General features: G+C 38.8%; 1 protein-coding gene across 2 annotated transcripts in view, besides 1 other annotated feature; it reads left to right on the forward strand.

The window, feature by feature from the left end:
- The window catches only part of SCG3 (secretogranin III), a 39524-nt gene continuing 26533 nt past the window's right edge, over positions 2775–15765 (forward strand). Inside the window, exons 1-7 of one of the 2 annotated variants that reach the window (NM_013243.4) lie at positions 2775–3109; positions 3789–3841; positions 4351–4396; positions 4491–4706; positions 9532–9674; positions 10491–10640; positions 13431–13608. In NM_013243.4, the coding sequence (NP_037375.2) occupies positions 3028–3109; positions 3789–3841; positions 4351–4396; positions 4491–4706; positions 9532–9674; positions 10491–10640; positions 13431–13608 (868 nt within the window). In that variant the 5' untranslated portion in view covers positions 2775–3027. The remainder of the gene's footprint in view (positions 3110–3788; positions 3842–4350; positions 4397–4490; positions 4707–9531; positions 9675–10490; positions 10641–13430; positions 13609–15765) is intronic. The other variant, NM_001165257.2, reaches the window with a different exon arrangement.
- Positions 13504–13798: an enhancer, noted in NCBI's record as "tiled region #12802; K562 Activating DNase matched - State 8:EnhW". NCBI's record gives its function as "activates a minimal TATA promoter and a strong SV40 promoter by Sharpr-MPRA in K562 cells {active_cell/tissue: K562}" and the evidence as "EXISTENCE:reporter gene assay evidence [ECO:0000049][PMID:27701403]".

A 15765-nucleotide genomic window follows, 5' to 3' on the forward strand; every position in this document is an offset into this window, starting at 1 on the left:
GTAGAGACGGGGTTTCACCATGTTGGTCAGGATGGTCTCAATCGCTTGACCTCATGATGAAGTCTGGGGTTTTTAATGGATAAACAACTCATTGGGGTATGAAGTGGACGGAAATATAGAATAAAAAGAATGGTCATGAGTTAATGATAATTGAGGTTGGGTAGTGGATTCATGCATGCTTATTTCAATATTTCCTCTACTTTTGTGCTTGAAATTTTCTATAAAAATACAATAATAATTAATATATTTTTTCTGTAATAAATGAAAGCATCCTACAAATGTCTCTACCTTCAAGACTCAGCTCAAAAATAATATTCTCCACTAGTGAATGAGCGCACCACAATTGTTCCATTTGTGTTGACAAATGAACAAGCAGCATTGACAAACTCACTGTGCATTGTACATTGTTGATTTAATAATTATCTGATCTGTGTCAATGTTATTTGTCTTGTAATTTCAACATATATTTTCATATTATTCCATGTTTATAGTGTTCTCACACATAAGAATCAAATATTTTAATCTTTTTATTATTAATAAAAGGGCTGTCTTCTCTTTGAAATCTTTCCTGACCATTCATTCCATTATTTGGACAGACTCTACTTGAGCTTTGCAAATACAAAAAGGACACATAACACTCTCTTGTACTTATTCATTCACTTATATTTCAATAAGAATAGTGTGTTGCATGTGAAACCTGTTCACCAAATAGTTGTTGTTATATTCACAATATTTTCTCTCTACTAGGCTATAGGACTAGCAGTGACTAGTGTCTTACTTGTCTTTGTACACCCAGCAACTATCTCAATACCTGGTACATTTCAGATGCTCAATAAACACCTGTTAAGTGAATTGATGAATAAATACAATTTAGGATTACTCCATTCACAGACCTATACTAAGTCCAGTGGTATCATCCATAAGGCTGAATAATGTAAACTAATTCATGCCTATGTTTTACTCAATGCTCCACCACTCATTTGATCAGAAACATAACATGATCCTAGATTTAGTGTCCATTTAACATAATCACTTTAAGTCCAAATGGCAGAAAGAGACAAAATACCCTTTTTCTTTTGGGCAAGCAATGCAATGTACTCAACAGACATCCCTGACCTTCATCCCATCCTGAATCTCTCCCAATTGCAAACATGTATTGAGGAGATAAATGAGTCAGGAATGGGACAAAGGACAAAGTGAAGCTGAGGGATTAGGTCAGTGAGTCTCAGGATCAGTGAATGGCTATTTCAGATAGCGTTGGGTAATGTTTCATAAAAGCTGAAAACGTTTCATGACTTATTTTCTTAGGCTGTATCAAAATATTCTTGGTATCAAAATGACTAGTTCAAAACATGTACCCATTTGATCTTCATAATAACAGTGTGAGGTAAACAGAGCCTGTCATTTCCATCATAAAGAAAAGGAAACTAAGGAAATATACCCTTCATTCAGCTGGGATTTTAAAATATGACTTAATTTTTTAATGCAGTATACTGGGATAATAATGCTATGTTATTACTGCCAATAAAGAGTTTTTTGTTTTGAAGGAGCTGTTAGATTTAGAATACTCTTTAGATCCTCAAAGGAAGTATTTGAGTGACTTCCAAACTCAAAAACCTCCGGAGCAAGGGAGATTTGTTTGTCAGCTTGGTTGTTTGTTTGTTTTTAGGTACTTGAATAACTTCCTCCTTGAAAAGGAGGGTGCAGAAATCAAAGGCCTGATTGTGCTGAATCCTTCTCTTTGGTCATTATTCAGACTGGTTCCCAGCATGCCGCAGTCCAGAGGAAAAGGTCCAAGTTCTGTTTAAAAATCAGAGACTAAAGAGCTTACTCAGCATCCTGCTCACATTAATGTTGCTTGTTTTCATCATTTAAAGTCTTTTGATAGTTCCTTGTATACAATAACCTTAGGCTTCTGGGAATATTCTCAGAACATAGGAAGCACCTCCCTGACTTAGTAAAGATGAAAAATGCTTTTCATGACTATCCCCTCTCTTGAAGGACCCCCTGGAACAGCCAGGTCTTTGGGCATAATTAAATTCTGGGCAAGATTTTACAGAAATGCAGCTTCTTTTTTCTAATTTAGTTGTGTGGTGTGTGTGTGTAAAGTGGGGGAGGTTCCACTTGGTGGGGAAAGGAGAATTTGCCATTGCTGCTCGTCTACTCAGGACTGTTTCTGTTGTTGTTGTGTTTCAGCATCAGAGAGTGAGAGTGTATTGCAGCAATCTGACTATTTGGAAGACTGTTCCTTGAATTTCCCAATTCAAAAGCCTCGGTAGAGCTGAGGGATGCTTGATACGTCAACACAGACCACAAAAGGCAGGGCTTTTCTAAAGAGATTATAATTATATCTACCTTTTGGGTACAGGAGGTGAATGGAAGGAAGGGATTCTGGAGCAGATATCCCAAAAGAAGAATCCCGAAGCAGAACTCCTCGCACAAGGTTATCTAAATCTCCTTGACAGGTGCACAGGCAGAGAAGGCATTTGGCCCTTGAAGTAACATTTACTTGAGAGGTTGGGACAATTCTGTCACGCTTAGGACAAGCCAGCTGACCCTGAGCCCAGGAGCACCCTAGGACTGCAGCACAGAAAATACACCAGCTGGCCGGTCGCCCCTCCTTTGTTCCATTCCCGGGGGATTGGAGTAGCGTTGGAGTCACCGACGCCATCCCCTCCCGCCTCTGGCGTGCATGGAGCATGCGCTTCCTTCCTCACTTCCTCTGCAGGAGGGAGCGAGAGTAAAGCTACGCCCTGGCGCGCAGTCTCCGCGTCACAGGAACTTCAGCACCCACAGGGCGGACAGCGCTCCCCTCTACCTGGAGACTTGACTCCCGCGCGCCCCAACCCTGCTTATCCCTTGACCGTCGAGTGTCAGAGATCCTGCAGCCGCCCAGTCCCGGCCCCTCTCCCGCCCCACACCCACCCTCCTGGCTCTTCCTGTTTTTACTCCTCCTTTTCATTCATAACAAAAGCTACAGCTCCAGGAGCCCAGCGCCGGGCTGTGACCCAAGCCGAGCGTGGAAGAATGGGGTTCCTCGGGACCGGCACTTGGATTCTGGTGTTAGTGCTCCCGATTCAAGCTTTCCCCAAACCTGGAGGAAGCCAAGGTATGTGAACACTTTTCTTCTTCCTACCTTCCTTTTATTTCGCCACGAAAAGGTAAAGTTTGGCATAATACGTGAGCTGTAAATCACCCTGACGCGTTTTCTGATCAAATCATATCCATGAATACGGACAGAGAAATCAGTTCGAATTTAGAGACAGAAGACAGATTTTTTTTCTTCACTTTTAAAATGATAGAGCAATAATATGGGTTGTTTTTAAAGATCTTATTTTGAAAAGGGAAGGGAACCTTTTTCACCTAAAGTGGCTTGGATTGTTTTCTAGTTGCCTTACAACCTTTCTCAGACAGTCTATTCATTATATATGCAGTATATGATGAAAGAGCTTTTAGTGTGCCAATAATACCAATCCAAATTATGCTCTCTCTAGCTGAGAATAGCTGATAACCCTAGTGTTAGAACTATATGTTAAATTTCTGGTCAGAAAAAAAAAAAAGTGTGATTCTGTCAGCTCAAGAAATACACCAAGATAATAAACAAGGCAATATTGATAATTACTATTATTGTATAATCTTGATAATCTTTGTTAATATGCATTTGTTTCATAGTCATCCAAAATTATTTCTCCTAATATTTTTCCTTTTTATAAAAATTTTATTTAATAAGAGGCATATTTTGTCCTTCAACGCACAATTAAATTTATATTCACATGTGTTTATTCTAGACAAATCTCTACATAATAGAGAATTAAGTGCAGAAAGACCTTTGAATGAACAGGTAGGTCAAAAGTAACATTATGAATGCTATTTCATTTTGATTTAGTTATTATTATTTAATGTAATTATGCTGTGACATTTTGGTCATTTTGAATTTACAAACATCAGGAACTTAATAGTTAATTGACAGAAATTAGGACGGGAAATCTAGTTTTGGTAAATTCTATGCCCTAGCAGTTATTTACATTGAGTTCTGTATAATGAATACATAGAGTAACTATATAATAACCCAGTAAGCTCAGCATCACATCCACTCTGTTGTAAGATTGCCTAATTTACCAGAGATTTCTCTTTCAACAATATTATAGGAGAAAGAAATTAACACTGACTGAGCATCTACCCTTAATTTTATCTCATTTAATTATTATAACAGTGCTCTGAAATAGGAATTATCCACATTTTACAAACAAGACAATTAAATCCCATGGAGATTAAATCATTTGGCTCTTGTACTTGGTAAGTAGTGGAGCAATGATTTTAAACCAAGTCTATCTCCTGTTTGCTTCACAGATTGCTGAAGCAGAAGAAGACAAGATTAAAAAAACATATCCTCCAGGTAAAAAGAAATCATATTGATGTTAATTTAAATAATGTAGGCTATGAGAATCTGAACTAAAATGGCTGTGTTGGGTTTGGGGCTATTCTTCCAGAAAACAAGCCAGGTCAGAGCAACTATTCTTTTGTTGATAACTTGAACCTGCTAAAGGCAATAACAGAAAAGGAAAAAATTGAGAAAGAAAGACAATCTATAAGAAGCTCCCCACTTGATAATAAGTTGAATGTGGAAGATGTTGATTCAACCAAGAATCGAAAACTGATCGATGATTATGACTCTACTAAGAGTGGATTGGATCATAAATTTCAAGGTAAATGAGAAAAAAAGAACTTTTTGTTAACGTGGAGTTTCCTATAATGGGTTAAGAGAAAGTCCAATATTTTAAAAATATCTTTTAAACATTCATAATCCTTTATTAGTCAAGTCCAAAATTGAGATAAAGCATATATTTACTGATAACATGTAGAGCCCCAGCTCCACAGAGTGCCATATTTTATTTTCCCTTTAAAAATTCCTTTAGTGATGCTCTGAAAACATTTTTTAATCTAGTATTTGTATTTTATGGTATTAAATTCATTTGAACATTCAGATTTATTTTAACAATGAGTACACACAAAATATCATAATTTTCAAATAATTAGATCAGTAAAGTACCCTCCCACCCTGCACAAAAAAGGTGAAATATCCACTATTTCCTTTTCAGTGTTTCCTCCTAGCCATATCTTTTCTCCTTAGGTCATCCTAACCTTTACGTGGCTTCAATTACATCTATATCCTAACATCCCATATCACTAGGCCAGACTTCTCTTAGCTATAGACCTATTTATCTGTTTACCTATTCGACATTTTCCCTTGGCAGTGTCAGAAGCACCTCAAATTTAGCATGCCCATGATTAAACTCATAATCTGTGTCCACTTCACAACCTAGACCTCTTAGAGTACTGTTTCTTTAGGAAAGGCACTACTATCCATCCAGTTTTTTAAAGACAGAAATCTAGGATCAAACTATTTATCTTTTCCCTCACCTCTCAAATTCTAATCTGCCAAAACTTACTAATTTTATGTCTGTGTATCTCTCAATTGTTTTTCTCTGTACTTGTCCAAACTCCAATCCTTGTCCAAGCTCCAATTATGTCTCATGTAAACTATAGCAAAATCTACAGTTCTCCCAGCAACCACTCCGCCTCTCCCCAACTCATTCTTCATTTGGCAGCCAATGTGGTAGTTTCCTTACCCGAAGTCAGGAGTTCAAGACCAACCTGGCCAACATGGTGAAACCCCATCTCTACTAAAAATACAAAAATTAGCCAGGAGTGGTGGTGGGCACCTGTAGTCACAGCTACTTGGGAGGCTGAGGCAGGAGAATCACTTGAACCCAGGAGACAAGGGCTGCAGTGAGCCAAGACCACGCCACTGCACTCCAGCCTGGGCGACAGAGCCAGACTCCATCTTAAACAAACAAACAAAACAGGAAAACCAAAGTCCTTAATGAAGCTTGCACAGTCCTGCATGGACTGCTTCCTGACTACATTTCTAGGTTCATCCTGCACACATAATCTGATAGAAACCTTGTTCTTGCCCTTCATGGCACTTCATGCAGTTTGTAATTTTACCTTCATAAGTGTGATTATTTATGATTAATGCCTTTCTCCAAAACTAAACTGAAAACTTCATAAGAATAGAGACATTGTAACCCCAGTGCCTGGAAGCCCATGAATTCATTGAATAAATTTATGAATGAATGAATGAATGAACAAATGAAATAATATATGAGGGAATAAATGAACTGCCATACCTAGGCATTAAGAAGGAAAGTGTGTTTTTCATTTTTGAGAACCAGTGCTTAGGAGTAAGTACAGGTTTTCTTCCCTGTCCTTATTCTGTTCCATAGCTACAGGAGATTTATGTTGATTATCTCTGCCAGAAAACAACTGACTATTAAATTGGACTTTCATAGGACATAATAACCTAGGAGTGTTCTGAAGTGTCACGTGTACCTATGAAGTGGGATGGAGGCAATGGGTTTATATTTTGACATATATCATATGCCATGCTACTCAGGGAAATTTACTTTTTAAAATCTTGAATTCGACTTTTTTACCTAAAATATTGGGACTACAAATAGACACTGATTATAACTGCATACAAAACAGATTCAACCACTTCAACTGAAGTGATCATTTGATTTAATAAAATAGCCTAATATTGAGTTGGCTGGATTGGTCAAACTTGTTGTACATGCAGGCAGAGACATAGATCTGTTTTTGATCTGACCGCTAATTTGAGCAACTAATTTTTTAACTGTTCAACATTTTATTACCATCCCAAGTATGTTTGGAACTACAAAGTGCTAGTCCTAATGACTTCAGGTTTACCGTAGGAGGTATTAACTCCACTTGAGATCACAGAGAAGACAGGCCAAGGTTCTTGGAGAAAATGATTTGTGAGTAAGCTTCTGGTCTCCCCTTGTGCTCTGGAAATCCTGAAACCAGAGGGTTTTTGGCCACTAAGTTGAATAGAACCTCAGATGCATGTAGACTTCATCCCAGAGGGGAAGGTAAAGGAAGCTAACTTCTGCCGGATGTGTTCCCAGACCTACTCTCGCCTTTAGGAAGCTTCCAAACAGGCTTGTACTATAGGACCCATCAATTCTCCTTTTCAGTGTTTTCTATAGTATGCACAATTTAGGATCTTTCCAAATTTCTCTTATAAAGTAGTGCTTTGGGGCTCCTGTATGCATTCGAATATTTATTGAGCAATTGCTATGTATTGGACTATGAGGTAGACAATAAACCCTGTGTAGTCAGGGAGCATGCCTAACCTTTACATCACTCTATTTCCAGTGTCTGACACATAATAAGACTTTAATTAAAATATATTGAACAAATGAATGTCAAGTGCTATGTTAGATGCTAGGGATTCAAAACATAACTGGGCAGATGATGACTTGGGACATGACCCTTTGACATTCACTTAGAATGTTGTGGCTACTTAACAAAAGTTATGTGTTAAACCCATGTTTGGCTCCCCTCTGGGAGTCTATACATGGAGGGTGAAATACCCCTTCATGAGCAGGAGGGAAGCCATTCTGAGTCATACTATCCATTTTAGAATAGTGAAGGAAATCAGGGAAAGGTGAGGAGCAATGGTCACACGTTCCACTGTTTACACCATCCAGCAAAGCACTGCTAGGGGAGACCTAAGTTCCTGGCTCAAGAGAGTACAGCAGTGCAGCAGAGCAAAGACTCTTCAGTGGGTTACTAACATCCTCCCTGTTGTGAAGTAAATGGACTGAAAAACAGTCATCTCAGTTATTTTCCAGGTCTAGGAGGCAACCAATATTCCTCCTTTTACGGATCCTGAGGGATAGATAAGTGGGAAGGGAAATAAATTCTTCCACCTCTGCATAGACTGGGGCAGTTTCTGCTCTATGTATTCCTGACAGCCTGACTTGCAATCCGCAAATGGAAAAATCAGACACATAATAGTGAGTCTCTGCTCCTGAAAAATAGATGACGATCCAAATTTTCAGCCAGCCAGGAGGAGAACTGATTTTATGTTTGTTTGTTTGTTTGTTTGTATGTTTGTTTGTTTGTTTTTCTTAGGGGCTTTTCTGCTTTTTTGTCTCTCTGGTACTCAGCTCAAAGGGCTCATGGCTCATGGGCTGGCCAACAGCTCAGCAATTTTGTACTGACAGAGAACTTCCAGTCCTCCATGTATAATTACCCCCACTCATTTTCCTAAGCTTCTTTCCAAACAAGAAAGAGATATTCTGCCTGAGGCTGCATATACCTCTATTTTCATAGAGTCTGAAAGAAAAGCCACGGGATAAATTCCCTGTCCAAATCCCCAAAACCCATGGAAGAAAAGAGCAGAATCAGAATAGAAATACTAGGCTCTTCTTTCTTTGAGTGAATATGATGAGGATTGTCTGGGCAGAATCTGGCCGGAGATTCAATTTCCATTTTCTCTAGGAGATAATTGCTGTTCCTTTGTTTCAAAATACAAATCCACTGTGCATAATAACAATAATACATTAGCTTTCATATATTAGGTTGGTGCAAAAGTAATCGCGGTTTTTGCCATTACTTTTAATGGCACAACAATCCCATGAAATAGATACCTTGTTAGACTCCTTTACAGTGATCCAAGGATATAGCTAACCAGAGATATCACTGGGGCTAAAATTCTGATCTTTCCAATCTTTCCAGAGGAAACAGGGAGAATTAAGTGCATTGTAAATTTGATCCATTCAATGTAGTATAGATTGGAGATGACTAATAATTGATTCCTGGAAGATCTCCATGGATGTGCTACAATGCTTCATTGCCACCAGCCCTTTCCCTCAGGATGGGCCCTTACTTTAGTCTGAAGTTGTATTGCCAAATGTATTCCTAGGAGAGCCAAGGGAGCATATGAGCATGCTTCTCTGCAAAGATTTACATATTGCTTTGTGCAGATCTGTTGCCATATTTTAAAAGTTTAAATTCCGGGCACATAAACTACAGTAAGATCCCTGTTCTCTAAGGATGAGTTTTGTCACCTTAAGCTGCCTTTTTTACATAAAGACACTCTAATACAAGTTCAATTAGAAGTAAATATTTATTTTAGGTGAGTCATAAAATCTTCAGTACACACTGTCTGATTCTGGGTGTGAGGTAGAAGTCCCTGCCCCTACCCCAGGAATTTGCCTGCAAAGGTAGTACATGTGGGGATATTACCAAACTATCTATTCCCTGTATGGAACTGGAATATCAAATCATACAATATATAGAAGGGTACATTGAATAATATGACATGCTATATAAATATGGCATACTATGTTAATAAAAAGTATAATATGGTTTGTATTATTGGTGATAACAATAAATGGAGACTACTTTTCTGTTGCCTTTAGCTTTTCCTTCCTCTTATAGTCACCTAAGAAAGTTTCAGAATGTCCATTATCATACTAAGTTTTTAACATGAAGACCAATTTTATTTCAAACCGAGGGTTTCTGTGGACCGAGAACCACCATAAATACATTTCAAACATATCTGAATATACAAAAGCGAAGTACAGATTATAAGTATAATATGATGCATGAAATAGATCTATGATCACTATGGTGTGAAGTTGTGGTCGTTCTGTCTAGATGATCCAGATGGTCTTCATCAACTAGACGGGACTCCTTTAACCGCTGAAGACATTGTCCATAAAATCGCTGCCAGGATTTATGAAGAAAATGACAGAGCCGTGTTTGACAAGATTGTTTCTAAACTACTTAATCTCGGCCTTGTAAGTCATTTGGTAGGAAATAAACCAAATTCCTAGTGCAGTTTAGAGTATGCCAAGAAGCCAAGTCACTTGCCTCAAGTAGCCAAGTGTTTATAATGTGTCTTCCTTCTACTAGGACCCGTAGGTTTTAAGGACAAGCAAAGCACCATTCTTTTTTTTCTAGGAGTTTATCATCCATCAGAAGAACTAGGCAAGTAGACACACGCCCAAAATGCCAGCTGCTTAAAAACCATAAGAGCCAGAGAATAGCTTATATCCAACTGGCAGTAAGGAAAGGCTTCAGAGGAAGAGGCGTATGAAGGAAGCTTAGAGGGATGGTTAGGATATAACCAGCAGAGGTAAAAGACATGTATGTGACAAAAAAAGAAATAACATGAGCAAAAGCATGTGATGTGTATTTTTGAAACTCCAGGTGATCTAATTTGAATCCACCTCAGCTTGGCTCTTCTGCCCTGACCTGGCCCTGACAGGCTTTATTAAGATGCTAATTTTGTAGGATGTCAAAGGTTATCTGACTATGACCCAAAGCTGTGGAGGGGCAATGCTCAGGGTGTTTCTCAAAATATGTGGTCCATGGGTTTCAACAGATAGAACTAACAGCTTGCATGGTGGGCCCGAAGATACTTCTTCCAGGAGTGCTGAGCAATCCCTATAACAGCCAGCATGTGGTGCAGGCGTAAGTGAGGGCTGTCTGAAAGATGGTTCAGAAGATTCCTCTTTAAAAAATACATGTTTGACTACAGTTTAGTCCACATTATTTTTTAATAACAAGACTGGGAATATAGCAGTTATATATGTTTTGCCTTTTTATGATAGATCACAGAAAGCCAAGCACATACACTGGAAGATGAAGTAGCAGAGGTTTTACAAAAATTAATCTCAAAGGAAGCCAACAATTATGAGGAGGATCCCAATAAGCCCACAAGCTGGACTGAGAATCAGGCTGGAAAAATACCAGAGAAAGTGGTATGTATGTGTATATATGCATATGCATGGGGGTGTGTGTGTGTGTGTGTGTGTGTGTGTGTGTACTTCTATCTGTATAATAATTGCCTTACTTGATACCAAAGAAGATTTGAGGTATGTGGCATTTTTAGCCCATTTATATTCAGGCCAGACATGTTGGCTCAAACCTGTAATCCCAGCACTTTGAGAGGCTGAGGTGGGAGTTGAGACCAGGAGTTCAAGACTAGACCTGGCAACATAATGAGACCCCCATCTCTACAAATAAAAATAATTAGCTGGGTGTGGTGGCACAAGCTTATAGTCTCAGCTACTCAGGAGGCTGAGAGGAAGATCGCCTGAGGCCAGGTGTTTGAGGTTGCAGTGAACTATGATTGCACCACTGCATACCGGTCTGGGTGACAGAGTGAGACCCTGTCTCAAAAAATTAATTAATTAATTAATTTAAAAATATGTATATACATAAAATACCAAAAAGTTAAAAGATATAAATGATCTCTACTCTGAAAATAATGTAAAGATTATGTTATATTCTATTATTTGGTAAAGATTACATCTTATACCCCACAGTAAAATAATACATAATAATATGTGAAGTAACAATATCACATAATAACATCTGTGTGTACAGTCCCAGTGAACTGCAAGCAAACATCTCACAGTTCTTTTGGTATCCAACATCTGTTCACAGCAGATGTCATCATCTGTGCCCAATCCCCCCACAAAGAAGTGGGTTGACTAGATCTTCTGCTACACCAGCTTTTGTGTTCCCCAGAGCTAGCTGCCTAATGCTGCCTCTCTGTTCTTGGCAATGCTCTTCCACCTGCTCCTTCCCCTTTTCATTGGTTTAGATGCCTATTTACCCAGGCTAATTTCATCCTTCCTTCCCTTTGTTGGACTCCTTGCGTCTTCATTTTTTCCTTAGCACCAACCAAGCTGTTGAGATCTTTCTCCCCACCTTGAATTCTCTTTAAAACTTTAGATGAAACTGACCATAAGGGGATATCAAATTCCTCATCTGTCCTTTGATTTTCCTCTGTAAAGCACCCAGACCCATGGCTCCTCATCTCCTCCAGCATCTTATCTCAAATACAAAGACTATAGAGGCTGATGGTTCTGTTTTAGAGAGGAGAGAAAATAGAAATTGGGTCTGGATTTCTTTTTTTTTTTTACTGGATAGCCTAAAAACTTTCCTCTGCTCTCCTTACTTCCAATCCTCACCAGCTGCCATCTTTTAAAGCAGCTTTTGAAGATTCACCCACTCAAAAAAAAAGTTCTAGATTTATCAAAAAAAAAAACCCTTATGACTTTTGCTCAAGCTTACCAGTCTGAGCTAAAATGGACACAGCTATTTCCATAATTCTTCATTCCCATTACATACTCCTATTCACCTATCTCTAAAATGTTCATATGCTTGACCTGTTTACTCATGTTACCTGAATGCATCAATGCAAATAAAACACAAATGAAATATTATTTCAACAAATATTTATTGAATACTAACTCTGTACCAAGCACTGGAAATACCATGCCTATTTAAAAAGACATAATCCCTGACTCATGAAGCTCAAAGTCTAGTGGAAGAGGTAGATCATGTTTAAATCATCATGTATTTTCATTACAATTGCATTAAGTGCTCTGAGGAAAGAAACATGGTTCTATGAGACCTCAAAAAAGGAGGCTGACCTGGACTTAGGCTCAGGAAATGCTTCCCTAAGGAAGTAACTTGAGCTGAGAACCGAAGATCAAATAGGAGTTAACTTGTGAACATGAGAGGCAGCACATAGAGAAGGATGTGTGGAGTATCCAAGCAACTGAAACAAGCACAGTGTTGCTGGCACAGAAAGAAAGAGCAAAAAGAGAAGAGACTGGGGAGGTGGACCCAGGCCAGACCATGCAGCGCCTTATGAGCCATGGATGGACTCTGATCTTTATTGTAAGAACCATGAGAATTTTCTGGTCCCCTGAAGAATTTTAAGCAAAGGAGTTACATGATCAGATTGTTAAAAAGATAACTCTGGCTATAATGTGGAAACGCAGTATTGGGCATAGATTTGGGGAGGGTGATGTTGCAGTTAGCAGGTGAGAAATGAAGGCTGCTTGGACTAGAGTGGCATAGTGGAGGGAGAAATGTGCAAATTTGGGATAAATTTTGAAAGTGGGGCCAACAAGGCTACTGATGGATTGGATGGGGGAAAAGGAAGAAGAGGCAAGAAAGGCTGTTAAATTTCTATCTAGTTCACTGAATGGAGAATGAACCATTTACTAAGATGCAAGTCACTGAACAAAAACCAGGTCTGAGAGAAAGATTTTGTACACTCATCCAGACAGCACTTAAACTTTACCCAAAAATTCCCAGGTGTGACTGCTCTGCTAGGGATAGACATTCTAACAGGCTTTCCTGTATCCTGGCACCAGCCCTCCTGGTGGATTCTGTGAACTCAAAGCTTCCCTCTTCATTAAAAGGCAGTTTTTCCTGGGGAGACTCATGATAATTTATGGAGGTAAACATGGCCAGAGAAAGAGCCCAGAAATTCCCGTTTTTCCCCTGAGCAGGAGCTGGGGTCTTCAGGGGGTTTTCCCTGAGGTAGAGCACCTTTCCCTGAGCTTCAATGACCTTTTCAAATGACAAGAGCACACATATCTAGAAATGGGTTTGAACCTGCAGGAGCTTGCAAACGAGGGGGAATTCTTGCACTTCACATTTAAGGGCATCACAAAGGAAGGAATCAAGCTGGAGTTTCACTAGTTCTAACAAAATGTTCATTTTTTATTGATTTTTCCCCACTGGAGACTCCAATGGCAGCAATTCAAGATGGTCTTGCTAAGGGAGAAAACGATGAAACAGTATCTAACACATTAACCTTGACAAATGGCTTGGAAAGGAGAACTAAAACCTACAGTGAAGACAACTTTGAGGAACTCCAATATTTCCCAAATTTCTATGCGCTACTGAAAAGTATTGATTCAGGTAACCACTGTGTGGTTGTGATTATGTGGAACAGAAAGAGTGATTCCAGGAAATGTATGGGTGTGTTCTTTTCTTCCTGTTTTCAGTTTCCAAATGTAATCTCCAATGACATACACTGTGGGCTTGGGGAAAAGGGTTCACATCGATTTTTTTTTCCAAAGGAGCATGCCAGTTATGAAAATATTTAGGAAAGGTGATGTTTCTGGATAATTTAATCTTCTTGTTAACAGAAGGTTCATTTATTTGTTCAGCAAACAAATACTGAACGTGTGCTATGTACAAGGTGCTGGAAAAGACCTAGCACAAAGATGGATATGAACCAGGCAGTGTCCTTGCTCTGACCCAGTTCAACCTCAACTCTTATTGCAACTCTTTTTTTCTCAGCTTGATTGAGGTATAATTGGCAAACAAATATTGTATATATTTAAGGTGTACAATTTGATGTTTTGGTACATTTATACATTGTGAAATGATTATCACAATGAATCTAACTAGTGTATCTATCACCTTATAGTTAACATTTTTTTCTTTTTTTTCTTTTATTCTTTTTGTGTGTGTGATGAGAACACTTAAGACCTACCCTCTTAGCTAATTTCAAGTACACAGTACAGTATTGTTAACTATCACCACCATGCTGTACATTCTCCAGAATGTATTCATCTTGCATAACTGAAATTTCATACCCTTTGACCAACACCTCCCCATTTTTCCCTCCCCTTAGCCCTTGGCAACTACCATTCTACTCTCTTCTTCGATGAGTTTGACTATTTGAGATTCTACATATAAGTGAGATCATACAGTATTTGTCTTTCTTTGCCTGCCTTTTTTTATTAGCATACATGTTGTCATACACACACACAAAAGTAGGAAGGAAATCCTTCCATTTGTAACAAATCTTTCTTTAAAAGGCTCTACTCACTTTCCTTAATGGAAACAGTGTATGAAACCTAATTCATCCTTTTTATATTATTCAAGAGATCTTTATGAACAGTTTCAGTTTCAGCCTTTATGAACATTTTAACTTCAGAGTTAAAATGGAGAACATTAGACTGAAGGAATCTGGGAACCTCAAACACACTTGGGAAATTATTTGTTTTTGTTTTTGTTTTTTTAAAGCTAAGTATTTCATGCATCCTGATCTCTTTGCTCATATGTGCAGTGAGTTAACTGAGGATTCAGTCCATGTTTATTTTGGTTAATCTGCAAGGAGGATAATAATGTGCAATGTTTCTGTTGTTATTGTTCAAACAGATGCTCTGGACTGCCTTCATGGCTTTTTCTTTCCCTGTTCAAGGATTCAGCCCCAGATTGAACATTTATATAAAGACTTCTATAATTGTAATCTATTTCTCCCAAGAAGTGACCTTAAAATAAGCTTTCATTTCTGGAGAACATCCTTTGTGCTTCAATTCCAGACATTGGCCAGATGGCACCGGCCACTCTGCTGGCTCTGCAGGGCTTGTACATCTTGAGGGTCCATTCTGAGCCATCTTGCCCCATTGGTTGGCAGATGCCCTACTCAGAACCTCTGTCATCCTGGTGAGTCACTTCTCATCAGTGAAGAGCAGCAGCGTGATGCCAAATACTTCTACGGATGTGTCCTTGAGCAAATAATGTGATAGCTGAAGTTACTATTTATCAGTTCTTTTCCAAGACCTCTTCCCCTGACTCTTCTCCCATTTTTCCTCCCTCTCAACCCATGACTTTATGGCATTTTTAAAAATTCTACTGTATAAAATGTTCCTTACTTGTTTTTATCTTTCCATTTCCCTCACCTCATTTCTTATTGTCTTTATTTTTCCATAATTTTAATTTAAATATTTATACTGAGTTCTTTGCTAGCATCTGTCTTTCTTGCCCAGGGTCTCAACCAATTAAGAATGAATAAAGCAGGTAGGAAACCAAAATATCATCTCTGTTGCTGATAAACACAGGGCTGCAGAACATAGCTTCATGTGAGAGCCAACAGTGGCCTTGTTTGCTCCCTACTCCTCCGTCTAGATCTTGGAACAGCCAGTCTCAGGGATGATTTGGGTCTGCAGAACAGGCTCGTTTCTCAGGTTCTTGCCTTGCACTGTTCCAGGCAAGTGGAAAAAAAGAAAGATTCCAAATCCCCACCAGTTGAGAAACATAGGCTAATGGCTGTTGCTTACCAAC

Source organism: Homo sapiens, chromosome 15 (genome assembly GCF_000001405.40).
Source record: "Homo sapiens chromosome 15, GRCh38.p14 Primary Assembly".
Taxonomy (NCBI): domain Eukaryota; kingdom Metazoa; phylum Chordata; class Mammalia; order Primates; family Hominidae; genus Homo; species Homo sapiens.